Source organism: Homo sapiens, chromosome 3 (assembly GCF_000001405.40).
Source record: "Homo sapiens chromosome 3, GRCh38.p14 Primary Assembly".
Lineage (NCBI taxonomy): Eukaryota > Metazoa > Chordata > Mammalia > Primates > Hominidae > Homo > Homo sapiens.
In genome coordinates, this window is record NC_000003.12 from 96,349,227 (window position 1) to 96,365,843 (window position 16,617).

The window sequence follows — 16,617 nt, forward strand, 5'->3', positions numbered from 1 at the left end:
AACCTTTTTTGATGTTCTTCTTTATGAAATGGCCTTTTAAGTTACATTACTACGTTAGCCTTATACTGAAATTTAAGTATAGACCACCTCAGATTTAAAGAGTAAGTTGAAAACAAATAAACAAATAAAAAGGATCTTTCGGCAGACGCCATTATCCTCTGTTTCTCTGCTGCACCGACCTCGACGCCTTGCCTGTGGCCCACTTGTTCACTGACTATAGGCTACTGCAGCACTGGGGTGTCAGTTGTTGGTCCCACCCAGAACGCTTCAGTTCTGCTCTGCAAGGATATATAATAACTGATTGGTGTGCCCATTTAATAAAAGAATATGTAAACTGAACAGCCGGAAGAAACCTTCCCGAACACTGAAACCAATGGTGAATTTGGTAAACACCCTGCAGAAGATATGGAAGAGTAACAAGCATTTAAAAGATCTAGAAACACTGATGAGATGGTTGAATTACGCATTCTGCTTCAGACCAAGAATGCTGGGGCAGTGATTGGAAAAGGAGGCAAGAATATCAAGGCTCTCCGTACAGACTACAATGCCAGTGTTTCAGTCCCAGACAGCAGTGGCCCCGAGCACATATTGAGTATCAGTGCTGGTATTGACACAATTGGAGAAATTCTGAAGAAAATCATCCCTACCTTGGAAGAGGGCCTGCAGTTTCCATCACCCACTGCAACCAGCCAGCTGCCGCTCGAATCTGTTGCTGTGGAATGCTTAAGTTACCAACACTATAAAGGAAGTGACTTTGACTGCGAGTTGAGGCTGTTGATTCATCAGAGTCTAGCAGGAGGAATTATTGGGGTCGAAGGTGCTAAAATCAAAGAACTTCGAGAGAACACTCAAACCACCATCAAGCTTTTCCAGGAATGCTGTCCTTATTCCACTGACAAGAGTTGTTCTTATTGGAGGAAAACCCGATAGGGTTGTAGAGTGCATAAAGATCATCCTTGATCTTATATATGAGTCTCCCATCAAAGGACGTGCACAGCCTTATGATCCCAATTTTTATGATGAAACCTATGATTATGGTGGTTTTACAATTATGTTTGATGACCGCTGTGGACGCCCAGTGGGATTTCCCATGCGGGGAAGAGGTGGTTTTGACAGAATGCCTCCTGGTCAGGGTGGGCGTCCCATGCCTCCATCTAGAAGAGATTATGATGATATGAGCCCTCGTCAAGGACCACCTCCACCTCCTCCAGGACAAGGTGGTGAGGGTGGTAGCAGAGCTCGGAATCTTCCTCTTCCTCCTCCACCACCACCTAGAGGGGGAGACCTCATGGCCTATGACAGAAGAGGGAGACCTGGAGACTGTTACCATGGCATGGTTGGTTTCAGTGCTGATGAAACTTGGGACTCTGCAATAGATACATGGAGCCCATCAGAATGGCAGATGGCTTATGAACCACAGGGTGGCTCCAGATATGATTATTCCTATGCAGGGGGTCGTGGCTCATATGGTAATCTTGGTGGACTTATTATTACTACACAAGTAACGATTCCCAAAGATTTGGCTGGATCTATTATTGGCAAAGGTGGTCTGCAGATTAAACAAATCCGTCATGAGTCGGGAGCTTCGATCAAAATTGATGAGCCTTTAGAAGGATTGGAAGATTGGATCATTACCATTAGAGAAACACAGGACCAGATACAGAATGCACAGTATTTGCTGCAGAACAGTGTGAAGCAGTGTGCAGATGTTGAAGGAGTATAATGCAAGATATTTTTTTCTTTTTTATAGTGTGACGCAGTATTCTGGAAAGTTTTTCTAAGACTAGTGAAGAACTACGTCTTTTTTTTTTTTGTTATCTGCTTCTGTTTAAAAAGCCAACACGCCTCTGCTTCACAGGTGTTCTGCATTTGAGGTGTAGTGAAATCTTTGCTGTTCACCAGATGTAATGTTTTAGTTCCTTACAAACAGGGTTGGGCCAGGGAAGGGTGTGCAAAAACTAACACTGAAATTTTGAAACAGCAGCAGAGTGAGTGGATTTTATTTTTTGTTATTGTTGGTGGTTTAAAAAAATTCCCCCCATGTAATTATTGTGAACACCTTGCTTTGTGGTCACTGTAACACTTGGGGGTGGGACAGGGAGGAAAAGTAACAATAGTCCACATGTCCCTGGTATCTGTTCAGAGCAGTGTGCAGAATGTAATGCTCTTTTGTAAGAAACGTTTTATGATTTTTAAAATAAATTTAGTGAACCTATTTTTGGTGGTCATTTTTTTAAGACAGTCATTTTAAAATGGTGGCTGAATTTTCCAACCCACCCCCAAACTAAACACTAAGTTTAATTTTCAGCTCCTCTGTTGGACATGTAAGTGTGTCTCTTGTTGGACATAGGCAAAATAACTTGGCAAACTTAGTTCTGGTGATTTCTTGATAGTTTGGAAGTCTATTGCTGGGAAGAAATTCCATCATACATATTCATGCTTATAATAAGCTGGGGATTTTTTGTTTGTTTTTGCAAATGCTTGCCCCTACTTTTCAATAATTTTCTATGTTAGTAGCTGTGAAGAACTAAGGTGGGGAGCAGTACTACAAGTTGAGTAATGGTATGAGTATATACCAGAATTCTGATTGGCAGCAAGTTTTATTAGTCAGAATAACACTTGGTTATGGAAGTGACTAATGCTGAAAAAATTGATTATTTTTATTAGATAATTTCTCACCTATAGACTTAAACTGTGAACTTGCTCTAGTGTCTTATTAGTTAAACTTTGTAAAATATACATATATTTGTTTTTCCATTGTATGCAAATTGAAAGAAAAAGATGTACCATTTCTCTGTTGTATGTTGGATTATGTAGGAAATGTTTGTGTACAATTAAAAAAAAAAGATGAAAAAAGTTCCTGTAGATGTTTTGTGTAGTATCTTGGCATCTGTATTGATAGTTAAAATTCACTTCCAAATAAAACACCCATGATGCTAGATTTGATGTGTGCCCAATTTGAACAAGGGTTGATTGACACCTGTAAAATTTGTTGAAACGTTCCTCTTAAGGGAATACAGTAATCTTATATAGATATATATATATACAAATCTTATACATATATATAAATCTTATATATATATATATATATATATATATAAAAAGAATCTTTCACTCTTTAAACTATAATCAAGATTTGAAGACTTGAAAGTGAGATGAAGGGAAAATAAATGTTTTTCAACATTATTTTGTTTTGTTGTAAATACAATGCACAGATTAAAATATGCTATCATAAGAGGCTGAAATGAAATCTGCCTTTTCAGTTCAAACTTGAGTTTCAGAAACAGACTATTTTTTGAATGTTAGAAGTTGATATAAAACAAATGTCAAAAAGTCTCTCTAAATGTCATGCCTATTCTTTTCAAGGTAAAATTGAATTAATTTATCTCATCAATAAACTGATGTATTTTGAACTGCAATGATATGTATATATAAGATATCTAAATTTTCTTTTGTAGAAAGAAGTATAAAAAACATTTTCTGTCATCATAAAGTGAATAATTAGTATGTATATCAATTGTTTTTTAACTGCTAATTTGAATAATAAAAAAGTTCCTGATATGGTTTGGTTTGGCTCTGTGTCCCCACACAAATCTCATGTTGAATTGTAATCCCCAGTGTTGGGGGGAGGGACCTGGTGGAAGGTGATTGGTTCATGAGGGAGTGGGGGGGGCAGGCAGATATCCCCCTTGCTGTTCCCATGACAGTGAGTGAATTCTCATGAGATTTGGTTGTTTAAAAGTGTGTAGCACTTCTGCCTTCACTCTCTCTCCTGCTACATGTGAAGACATGCTTACTTTCCCTTTGCCCTTCTGCCATGATTATAAGTTTTCTCAGGCTTTCCCAGCCATGCCTCCTGTACAGCCTGTGGAATTGTGAGTGAATTAAACCTTTTTTCTTTATAAACTACCCAGTCTCATGCAGGTTTTTATAGCAGTGTGAGAACAAACTAATACAGTCCCCAAAGGCAATACGTTAATTGCCTTAAGGTTACATACTCCTGAACATAAAATTTGAGAGTAAATGATTATTTAAATGCAAAATTTTAAAAAGACTTTTAAATTTCTTGTTTTCATTTACTGTTTGAGATATTCTAGAATTAGCATTTTTATGTACTCAAAACATTCTAAATTAATACATTTTTAGTTTCTAACCATTTTAAAAATACATGTAAAGTAAAAGCTGTGTATATTAGTTAAATGCAGAGTAGCTTGTTTTCCCCTTTGCACAGTTTTAGTAAAAATTATATATCACAGGTGCCTTAATTGGAAAGCCGAACAATTTTGACATAAACATTGTGCAAAACATCCCTGGGACTTAACATAATTTTATTTATTTAATTCTTTTTTATAAAATAAAATTCAAATTTTAGACATTTCTTTCTAGTGAATTTATTATTCTGGGGGAGAAATATGTTATACCAATATAATTTACAGTGTTTAGAAAGAAACACTTTTTATGTCTCCATAATTCAATCTAAAATTTATTATTTCAAAAGCAGATATTTTTGTAAGCAAAGCATTTGTAGAATGTATCTAATTGCCAAGGTAAGATAATTACAATACAATAAAAAGTAAGAAAATGATTTAAAGGTCATCCAGAACATCTCAAAGGAGCTAAGAACTTTACAGGTTTTTCCCACTCCCAACTGAAATCAATCTCTAATTGATTCACACACTTGTGTGCAGTTGATAGGAAACAGTCATTCCTATCTCTATTTTGTAAATGACAATCCTGTCTTTTTTTTGCTTTTATCCTTCTGAACAAACTATATGAGAATCCACTATATAATTTAGACCATAACTTGCATCGTATTTTTATTTTAAATATGTACATTTACAGTGAGTAATTGTATTATTATCTGATTATGAATTTTCCTACAGATAATTCTAGCTGAATTTGGTTTTGTTATTTTTTTATGTCTTACATGCAACCTAAATGATTACCATATCCCACCTCAACTTAATAATTTTGGAAAGAGAGTCTCAAAGGGATGTGGGTTCTGTCTACTGGAAATGTGTATTCCAAACCTTCTGCTCTCTACAAGAGGTCACTGGTAACTCTATTGTTTATCATGGCACTGACACAGAGACTAAAGTCCCATTAGGCTCAATGTCGCTACTTACACAAGAGTAAGTTGAAGAAGAAAAGACAAAGCATGCTACATGTCCTTTTATGACTATGTTTCTTACTTCGAGCATATAAGCTCATTCAAGTATTCAAATTCTACATGTAACACTTAGTTCAAAGGAGAAAAATAATAAACAATATGTACTAAATGTAAGGTGTCATTGGGGAAAAATTGTGAGGTGTCCACCCTACCATTATAGTTTAAGGTAAACACCCTCAAAGAGTAAAAACCTTACAAAAGTTATTATACTGGGTCACTTCGTGGATTTTAACCTTCTAACCTGGTCCCAGACTCTGCAATTGTCTGCAAAGGTATGTTTTTCTTTAACCTAAGTGTTACATTCCATATTCATAAGCATTAGTCTTGATCTAGGATCTATCATCCGGAAAGGTAGAGAGTAATTATTCCCTAAAAATTTGATCCAAATCTTCCAGGTGGAGACCAAATATTCCACAAAAACAAGTTTGCCATCTTTAGAACAAATATCTCCAAAAACTGTTGGGAGAGCAAGGAAGAGTGAAGGAAACTATGGCACTGCATGTTTTGCAGAAAGGTTCCAACTGTGCCCTATGAGTCAGAGTGGATCCATAGTAACAGGAATTCCAAGATTTATTTCCTTTGGGTTCATTCCAGCAGGCTGATTTGTAGCTATATTTCATTATTTTTTATTGTTCAGCCAAGTAACTTTGCACACACATACACACAAACACACACTCACTTGTGCAGACATTCATGAGTCTCTCAGTAATATTACAGTTTAAACTATAAGGAAAGCCATAAATTTTTTTTATAAGTGGGTTATAACTTACCATACTCATGATGGAGTTAATTTTTCACATGGTATCCACACCAATAGATGTCTATGGATTAATTGTATGTCTTCCAACAACTGTTCAAAATCTTAGCATTTCTCTCTACCCATTTTTCTTCCTTCATACAACATAGTCATTACTAAAAATATAACTTGTGTTTAATGTTAATGTTAAAGTTGATATTGTAAATTTATTTTTAAAATTATAAATACTGGTTTGGTACAGTGGCTCACACCTGTAATCCCAGCACTTTGGGAGGCCGAGGCAGGCAGATCACAAGGTCAGGAGTTTGAGACCAGCCTGGCCAACATAGCGAAACCCCATCTCTACTAAAAATACAAAAATTAGCTGGGCGTGGTGGCTGGTACCTGCAGTCCCAGCTAATAAGGAGGCTAAGGCAGGAGAATAGCTTGAACCCGGGAGGTGGAGGTTGCAGCGAATCGATATTATGACACTGCACTCCAGCCTAGGTGACAGAGCAAGACTCCATCTTGAAAAAAAAAAAAAGAAAAAAATTATGTGTACTAACTGATGACAATAACTAAATTGAAAAATGAGAAAGGTTTTCTTAATTTATTCAATAGTTACCTTCTTTACCAACAGGAGGGATATTTGTTAATTCTAACACAATGCTAGCACGTCTTCAGAGGGAAGCCATTGAGACTGGGTGGAGGGAAGAAACAGAGACTAGGCTGAAGGGGGAAGAAGCTGGGGACCCTACATGGGGTTACCATGCACTGAGACTTGTTCCTGGATTCCAGTGACTCTCACAGAGGGCATGAGTTGAACAGAAAAGGAGCAACTCATTCTCACCACAGGCCTCTGGAATCCCAAAAGGAGGAGACCCTTCAACCACTATGGACACTTGAGTTGGCAGGGAAAGCTACTTAAGGAAGTGGTAGGGGCAGAACTCCAGCCAGGTCAGAGCCCAGAGAATTTGGTGTGGGAGTGTCTGTGGTGGAGCACAGACAGGGATGCCCATTCTTCTAGGCTTGATTTGCTCCCATAGGAGACTTTATCCCTAGGGAAACTCTCAGACCTGAACTCTTCAGGACAGTATTGCCCATCAGACAGGGACAATCTGACATGAGCACCCTTCAGTCTGCTGGTCTCTCTTGGGACCTCAGCCTGGCCATGTTAGCTTGCAGTGAAGCCCCCAGGTACGTCCTAGGGGCCTGCATCATAAATTAAAAGGCACAGAATGCCAAGCTGGATAAAGAACCAAGACCCAATGGTATTCTACCTTCAGGAGACCCATCTCATGTTCAATGACATGAAGAGGCTCAAAATAAATGAATGGAGAAAAATCTACCAATCAAATGGAAAATAGAAAAAAGCAAGGGTTTCAATTCTAATTTCACACTAAACAGACTTTAAACCAACAAAGGTAAAAAAAGACAAACAAGGGCATTATATAATGGTTAAGGGTTCAATTTAACAAGAAGACCAATGATTTTTAACATATATTCACTCAACATAGTGGCATTCAGATTTTACAAAGCAAGTTCTTAGAGACCTTCAAATAGACTTAGACTCCCACAAAATAATACCGGGAGACTTCAACACCCCACTGACAGCATCAGACAATCATCAAGGCAGAATATTAACAAAGATATTCAAGATCTAATCTCAACACTGGATCAAATGGATCTGATAGACATCTACAGAATACTCCACCCAAAAACAATAGAATGCACATTCTTCTCATCTGCACATGGTACATATTCTACAATCAACCACACGTTTAGACATAAAAAAATCCTCAGGAAATTTTAAAAATGAAATTATACCACCCACACTCTTGGACCACAGCACAATAAAAACAGAATTCAATATGAAGAAAATCCCTCAAAACCATGCATTTACATCAAAATTAAATGACCGTCTCCTGAATGACTTTCTGGGCAAATAATGGAATTAAGGCAGAAATAAAGAAGTTATTTGAAACTAATGAGAACAAAGATACAACATACCAAAATCACTGGGACACAGCTAAGGAGTGTTAAGAGGGAAATGTGTAGTACTAAACATCCACATCAAAAAGTTAGAAAGAACTCAAATTAGCAATCTAACATCACAACTAAAAGAACTGGAGAAGCATTATTATGTAATGCAAACCAACCCCAAAGCTAACAGAAGAAAAAGAGATAATAAAAATCAGAGCTGAACTGAAGGAGACTGAGACATGAAAAACCATTCAAAAGATCAATGAAGCCAGGAGCTGTTTTTTTTTAAATTAATGAAATAGACTGCTAGTTAGACTAATAAAGAAGAAAAGAGAAAAAAAACAAATAAACAAAATCAGAAATGACAAAGAGGGTATTTCTGACTGCACAGAAATAAAAATAATCATCACAGATTATAATGAACACCTAAGATTTTTGTCAGAGCTTTTGTTCAGAATGGTATTTTCTAGGTTATATTCCGGTGTTTTTATAATTTTAGGATTTACATTTAAGTCTTTAATCCATCTTAAGTTGATTTTTGTGTAGGGTGTAAGGAAGGGGTCCAGTTTCAATCTTCTGCACATGGCTAGCCAGTTATCCCAGCACATTCATTCAACAGGGAGTCCTTTCGCCATTGCTTGTTTTTGACAGCTTTGTCATAGATCAGATGGTTGTATGTGTGTGGCCTGACTTCTGGGCTCTCTATTATGTTCCATTGGTCTATGTGTGTGTTTTTGTACCAATACCATCCCGTTTTGGTTACTGTAGCCCTCTTGAAGTCAGGTAGCATGATGCCTCTAGCTTTATTCTTTTTGCTTAGGATTGCCTTCACTATTCCAGGTCTTTTTTTGTTCCATACAAATTTTAAAATAGTTTTTTACTAGCTCTGTAAAGAACATTATTGGTAATTTGATAGGAATAGCATTAAATCTATAAATTGCTTTGGGCAGTATGGCCATTTCAACAATATTGATTATTCCAACCCATGAGCATGGAATGTTTTTCCATTTGTTTGTGTCATCTCTGATTTCTTTGAGCAGTGTTTTGTAATTCTCATTGTAGATTTGATTATTTTTGTGGCATTTGTGAATGGAATTGCATTCCAGATTTGGCTTTTGGCTTGACTGTTGTTGGTGTATAGTAATGCTAGTGATTTTTATATGTTGATTTTGTATCCTGAAATTTGATGAAGTTGTTTATCAGTTGAAGAAGCTTTTGGACCAATACTATAGAGTTTCCTAGATATAGAATTCTGTTGTCTGCAAACAGGGATACTTTGACTTCCTCTTATCTTATTTAGATACCCCTTTATTTCTTTCTCTTGCCTAACTGTTGTGTCCAGAACTTCCAATACTATGTTGAATAGGAATGAGGTGGGAGGACATCCTTGTCTTGTGCCCATGTTCAAGCGGAATGCTTCCAGCTTTTGTCCATTTAGTATGATGTTGGATTTGTCAAAGATAGCTCTTATTATTTTGAGGTAGTTTCCCTCAAAACCTAGACTACCTGATCTTCAACAAACCTGATAAAAAACAAGCAATAAGGCAAGAATTCCCTATTCAATAAATGGTGCTGGGAGAACTGGCTAGCCATATGCAGAAGATTGAAACTGGATCCCTTCCTCACACTATAAGCAAAAATCAACTTAAGAAGGATTAAAGACTTAAATGTAAATCCTAAAATTATAAAAACATTGGAAGATAACCTAGGAAATATCATTCTTGACAAAAGCTCCAACAAAAATATTAGGATGATGATGCTAAAAGCAATTGCAATAAAAACAAAGATTGACAGATGGGCCCTAATTAAACTAAAGAGCTTCTGCACATCAAAAGCAACTATCAACAGAATAAACAGAAAACCTACAGAATGAGAGAAATAACTGCAAACTACGCATTTGACAAAGGTCTAATATCCAACATCTGTAAGGAATTTAAAGAAATTTACAAGAAAAAAAGCAAACAACCCCATTAAAAAGTGGGCGAGAGACATGAACAGACATTTTCCAAAGACACAAATGCAGCCAACCAAGCCTGTGAAAAAGTTCTCAATATCACTGATCATTAGAGAAATGCAAATAAAAACTGTGAGATACCATCCCACACTAGTCAAAATGGCTATTACCCAAAAGTCAAAAAATAACAGATGCTGGCAAGATTGTGGAGAAAAGGGAATGCTCATACATTTTTGGAAGGAGTGCAAATTAGTTCAGTCATTGTGGAAAGCAGTAAGGCAATTCGTCAAAGAGCCAAAAAAGGGACTAAGAATTGACAGCAAACTTGTTACTGTATATATGCCCAAAGTAATATAAATTGTTCTGTATAAAGACACACACATACGTGTATGTTCATTGCAGCACTGTTCAGAATAGCAATGACATGGAATCAACCTAAATGCCTATCAATGGTAGACTGGATAAATAAAATGTTGTACATATATACCATGGAATACTATGTAGCCATAAAAAGAATGAGATCATGTCCTTTGCAGGAACATGGATGGAGCTAGAGGCCATTATCCTGAGCAAATTAATGCAGGAACAGAAAACCAAATATCACATTTCTTATTTACAAGTAGGAGCTAAATAATGAGCATGAACACAAAGAGAGGAACAACAGAGACCTGCCAGAGGGTGGAAGGTGGGAGCAAGGAGAGGAACAGAGAAAATAACTATTGAGTACTAGGCTTCGTACCTGGTAATGAAATAATGTGTACAACAAACCCCTGTGACACAGTTTACCTATAAAACAAACCTGTATGGTACCCCTGAATCTAAAATAAAAGTTTGAAAAAGTAAAATAAAAGTAAAAATAAAAGCATAAGTGCATATAAATCAATATAGCATAGGTTTAAATCCTGTTTTTCCCACTTACTATTCTGGTCAGATATCCCATGAAGCAGTGGGTAGGAGGACAGGAAAAAGCTCATACGGCCACTAGAAATACATGTGTGACTAGGTAACCTCATATTCGAAATTCATAGTTTACCCGTGAGAATTTGATTACTGAAATGGAATAATGATAAATAATACAAAATAAATTAACTATGGAGATGTTACCTTAAAAAAATGTTGGGGCTAGGTGCGCAGATTATATACAATCATTGCTTCTTCCTCAGCTACTGGGCTTGAGGTTGGCAAAGCCAATGGTTGTGAAGGAATGGTGAACGTAAAGTGAGGCAGGGGGAGCAAAGAGAAATGGAACCTTCAAGGAGGAGCCGAAAATTGGGTCAGCCTCTCATTGCCTCCTTGCCTTCATCCCTATGTTGCAGATGAACTTCAGGAGAAGCTTTCCTCACAGAGATAAGCACAGACTTGAACCAGGATCCAAAGAAACTCAAGGAAGGGATGCAACAAAACACGGAGAAATTGAGAGCCTGGCTACTAATGCTGCAGTGTTGCATGCTCTGGCCAAGGACTTAGAAAAGCTGAAGGAGTATAATCAGTGAGAACTGGAAGAACTCTAAGGTGAGCTGCTTTTTCACAACAACCAATAAGCCAGCAGATCAGTGACAATGTGCACAAGCAGTAGAAGCTTCACAGCACCCTGTTCCAACATTCCCAGTATACAAAAATATGGCTGCCCTTTACATGCACATTTCAAATTATGCACACAATTTGTTCTGTGGCTAATACTGTATTGGAGCTATGCAGCAAAGCTTATGCCTAGAACATTTCACTACTAATTTAACTAAGTTGACTTTTTTTTTTTAATCTTTTGGTTTTTGGTCTGCTTTCAGACCACAGCAATCATCAACACAGAAGACTGCTGTTATAAAATGTAGGTGGGTGGGGTTCTCCTCACCACCAAGCAAGCAATAAATTCTGCAGCGGACATTAACTGGGTGTTCTACAATTCAGTTCCAACACTAGCTAGAGATAGGATCAGATCCCTCAGATTGAGAGTTCAGTCCTGATGTATGCCCCCCACTAGAGATCTATTACGAGTCCTAGACTCCAGAACTTCTGACCAACCGTCTTCAAGTCAAAGTTTCCATGACTCCATCTTTGGCTTTCATTAATTTTCTGAAGCAGTTCAAAGAACCCAGAAAAACTCTTACTTTTGTTTACCAGTTTATTTTAAAAGATATTACAAAAGATACAGGTGAAAAGATGCACAGGACAAAGTATGAGGGAAGGGGCACCTAGGTTCCCTAAACCTCCTTTGGCAAGTCATCCTCCAGGAACCTCCACTTGTTCAGCTCTCCAGAAGTTCTTCAAACCCTGTCCTTTGGGGGTTTTATGGAGGCTTAAATAGGTGTGACTGACAACCATGCAGCCTTTTTGTCCAATCACATATAGAGGTGTCCACATGTAGCTGTGTGATTGCATCAAAAGGGCACATGGCTATTACTATGATTTCATCCTATATGTATGGGGCAGGACTGCTCTGGAATAAGGATCTTTTAAACCAAAAAAAGATTAGAGTCCTATCTTGGCCAAATAAAAGGACAGGAGAATTTCAGAGAGAGAAATTTTGTTTCCTGCGGTCTGATCTTGAGGCCAAATCACACTGACATTATAATAAAGACTCTAACAAAGGCTGTGGGATTCCAGGAACAGTGGACAAAAACCAATGTATATACATTATCCTGACATTACATTGATGCATTCCAAGCCCGCCACAGTTCACACTCTTTCAACATGCCATCTACATACTTTTTAAAACATGGTTAACTTCCAAATAGACAACAATGAAATCACACTTCTTAATAACATGTTACAAATGATTTGTTGCATAACCCAAAACAAGGTAACTGTCTTCCCAAAAGAATATTTATAATTCCTTTAGATATCTTTGGTGGTGTTTATTAAACCAACCTCTCAAGAAAACTGAGCTTTTAAAACTTGCTGATAGTCTGGATCCACAAAAATTCAAGATTAGCTTGGAGAACAAGAAAGAAAGGAAGTGCTAAAAATTCAAAAGGACTATGGCATGTCAAAGGGACCCGGGAGCCACCAGGAAAGAGCTGTCAATGTCCAGAACCATGATATTTGAACAACACAATGAAAAATAAAGTATGGGATTATTACCCAAAGTATAAAAATAAATATGTATGTTTTCATACTGTTATAAATGATTGAATGAATAAAGAAATGAGAAAGAGGAAACTACTCTTTTTTAAAGAAGAATTCCTATTATAAGTAGATACTATTTCCTCTAGAAACTGAGCTTTAAACTCCCTCACTTTTTTTTTGTGGTGGACTAGACATAAAGTGAAATATGGAAAGGGTAAAATAGGAACTTTACAGTGGAGAAATATGGCAAATGCCACCTTAAATAAATGATTAAGGTTAACATCACCAGTGATGTTATACTAATATCATGTGCCCTCTGATAGGATGTAATGACAAGGGCATATCATTTCTGCATCATTCTTTATAAAAAAAAACCCATAATCCAGGTACAATCATGACAAAAACATCAGAGAAATTCAAATTGAGAGAAATTCTACAAAATAACTGACCAGTACTCCTATGAGTGTCAAAGTCATGAAACTTAAGAAAAACTCAGAAATTGTCACAGAACAAAAGAGACTAAGGAGACATGATAGCTAATTGCAGAATAGTATCATGTATTGGACACTGGAAGAGAAAGGGCATTAGGAGAAAAACTGATACAATCTCAATAAGGCCTAGAATTAATTAATAGTAATACTAATATTTGTTCCTTAGTTTTGACAAATGTACCATAGTAAAAAGATAACATTAACTAAATGCTATGTTAATTGAAACTGAAACTTAGTGAGAGATATATGAGAGTTTTCTGTATTATCTTTGAAACCTTTAAATCTAACATGTTCCCAATAAATATATTATTTTTTAAAAATAGCCACTTTGCAATTCTATTAGGCCAACTACTTTACAGTGACAGAGAACATAAGAAGACTAAATGAAACCAATAAGTAGAACCCCATTGCCACAGTGTGTTTGCTATAAAATATGTTCTGTGGTCAGAAGCAATAGTGTGTGAAACATCATGATTGTAAGAAAGACATTTTAGTGATTTACAGGTGGTGCTTTGGAAAGAAGCATTGTGTGTAAGAAAGGCAAATCTATTTACCTATGTGGAAGGTCAATTCCACGACCTTCAAAATGTTTCTATGTGATTAATTTGTCACTAGGTTGCACCAGGAATGTGCCATACTGATAGGTCACTGTTGGTCTTTCCTACTAACAGGTTTGACAATCAGCAGTGGATCTAACCATATAGGCCTTAGTGATTGCAGATCCATGCTGTTGAATCCAATGTGTACTATAACCCTGTTGAGTTGACAACTTTATTTCTAAACTTGTTGAGCATAAACATGGTTAACTGGGAAAAGAAGTCTTCTAATAACTATAGCACAGATTGTCCTATACACTTGATTATTAAGATCTTCATTGCTAAGATTTATATTCAATGAATACGAACATAAGACACAATTATCTGTGTATTTTGTCCTCATTAGAAGAGTTTCATCCACATATCTCTTTCCTCAATTTTCTAATAATATTCCTTCCACATTCCTGACCATTCAACCAAACTCATAATCACTGTATATGAGTCAGTGTAAATCTGTACCTCTGGAGGTGTCATCCACATGGCTGACCAGAGTCATCCAGCACTTGCCTTCTCCAAAAAGAAGGACCCAACAGCAAGTAAATAACTACACATTGAATAGAGTATCTAAGAGTGAACATTGGAATTCAGAAAAGAAGTGACAAAAGCCCTTTAAAACGTAGAAACTCCAGATGATAACATAGAGAGGGAAGCACACCAGTCAGCCAGGATTGGTTTGGAGCCAAGAAAGACACCCCACCGTGGAAAAAAAAGTAAAGAGAAAGCCCCAGTATTCTACACTTCCACCACAGATGCCTGAAATCCACATTATAGCAGAGTTTATCATCCTTCACAGGCCCTGAGTCCAGTATAAGGAGTTGCCTAGAGTCCATGAGACTGCAATGTTCTAAAGAAATAACTCACACTGAAACCCTCCAGACACACCCAAGTCCCCCAGCTGCTTCAGTACAGTGTCATTTTGAGAGTGAAGCTACCATCATACTACAGTCTGCCCTGACTTGGGGCCTAAGAGCCCCTGTATCTCCACATCCCTGAGGCTCTCCCCATATCCCCTTAGATCCATTCAGAGGGCTGCAGCAACATGACATCAGCTGGACACAAGGGTTTAACCATGTCCATGGCAATGAGGTTCCCTCATTGGCCTAGATCTCAAGCACATCATTGAGGCTGCCCCTAGGACATAGGAAGTCAAAGGGTGTACTCTGCAAAGTCTGAGAGCCATCTGGGCCTGCCACTCTTTGTGGCCACATCAGTTCTCTAGTGGTGGATCCAACATGCATCCACAGGTGCCATCTATAGGCCAGCAAACTGGCCCACACAGGTCTATGAGCACTGCCTGAGGACCTAAGGACTGGTCACATGGGGGCCCAAGAACCAGTTTGCCTGGGGCCTGCCACCACTGCCACCAAGATGCACGTGTATACATGCTATAGCCATCACTTGAGCCTGCACACACCTCCAAAGGACTGAAAAATTGCCTAGCCTTGGGCCCCACTGCTGCCAACACTAGTGCCCATGCATACCATCTGAGGGCCCTGAACTGGCTCACACATGACATTTGGGGGCTCAAGGACTGAAGGTTCCTGTGCATGGCACCCGTGAGCCCAAGAAATCACCTAACTGGGGACTACCACCACTATTGCCAGTGCCCACACATACCACCCAGGGGCCTGAGGACTACACCACCTGGCACTGGCTGCCATTACTGCTTTGCCAACCCTCCACATCCAGCAGCACAACAAATAGGAGCCCCAAAACTGGTCTCCATGGGGCTCGTTTTTACCACTGCTAGTGCCTGCACACACCCTGTAGAGGCCTGAGTATTATCCCACACAGTGTCCCTTTTCTCAGGAAAGCTACACCATGACCTTCACAAACAACCATAGCCTGAGCTACTGAGGAACTTGCATACACAGCCAATGTTGACTGTAGCCAAATAAATCATATGAAGACTACACTATTGTGCCCACCCAGACCAAAGCCACAGTACCCTACCCAACCAACACTAAAAATACATCAGCAGAAAAAAAAGTCTTTACAAAAACTACTCCATAAAAATGAAAGAATAAACTTATACCAGATGTGCAGACATCACTATAGGCACACAAGAAACATTAAAAAGCAAGGAAACATGACACCTACAAAGAAAGATAATATATTATCCAGTAACAGATTCCCTCAAAAAGGAAATCTACAAAATGTCTGAAAAGGAACTTAAAATAATAATCTTAAGGAAACTCAGTAAGTTAAAAGAGACCACACCCAGACAATGCAAATAATAGAAAACCAATTTTTGAAATGAGGACAAATTTTTAAGTAACTCATTCAGACAAAAAGATGAAGAAAAAATAATAAAAATGATGAAAAAAGACCACATGATATTGGAACACCATTAAGAGAACACATATTCAATTTTGGAAGTTCCATAAAGAGAAGAGTTGGGAAAAGTGATAGAAAACTTATAATGAAATAATAGTTGAAAAATTCCCAAGTATTTACAAGATACAGGAATTACAAGATCCAAGTATTTACAACCAACTGATTTTCAACAAAGGTACCAAGAATGTACATTGCAGAAAGGAGACCCTTTTCATTAATTGGTGCTTGGAAACTTGATATCCACATGCAGAAGAATGAAACTAATCACTTTGCTCTCATAAAAATCA

At 37.6% G+C, this 16,617-nt stretch overlaps 1 non-coding gene and 1 pseudogene across 1 annotated transcript; both read left to right on the forward strand.

Moving 5' to 3' along the window:
• Positions 220-1,912, forward strand: HNRNPKP4 (heterogeneous nuclear ribonucleoprotein K pseudogene 4; annotated as a pseudogene).
• An 8,825-nt stretch (positions 1,913-10,737) lies between these two features.
• On the forward strand, positions 10,738-10,813 carry MIR8060 (microRNA 8060). Its single transcript, NR_107027.1, has one exon. It is a non-coding gene; the product is annotated as a microRNA 8060 (primary transcript).
• Positions 10,814-16,617: the final 5,804 nt, after the last annotated feature.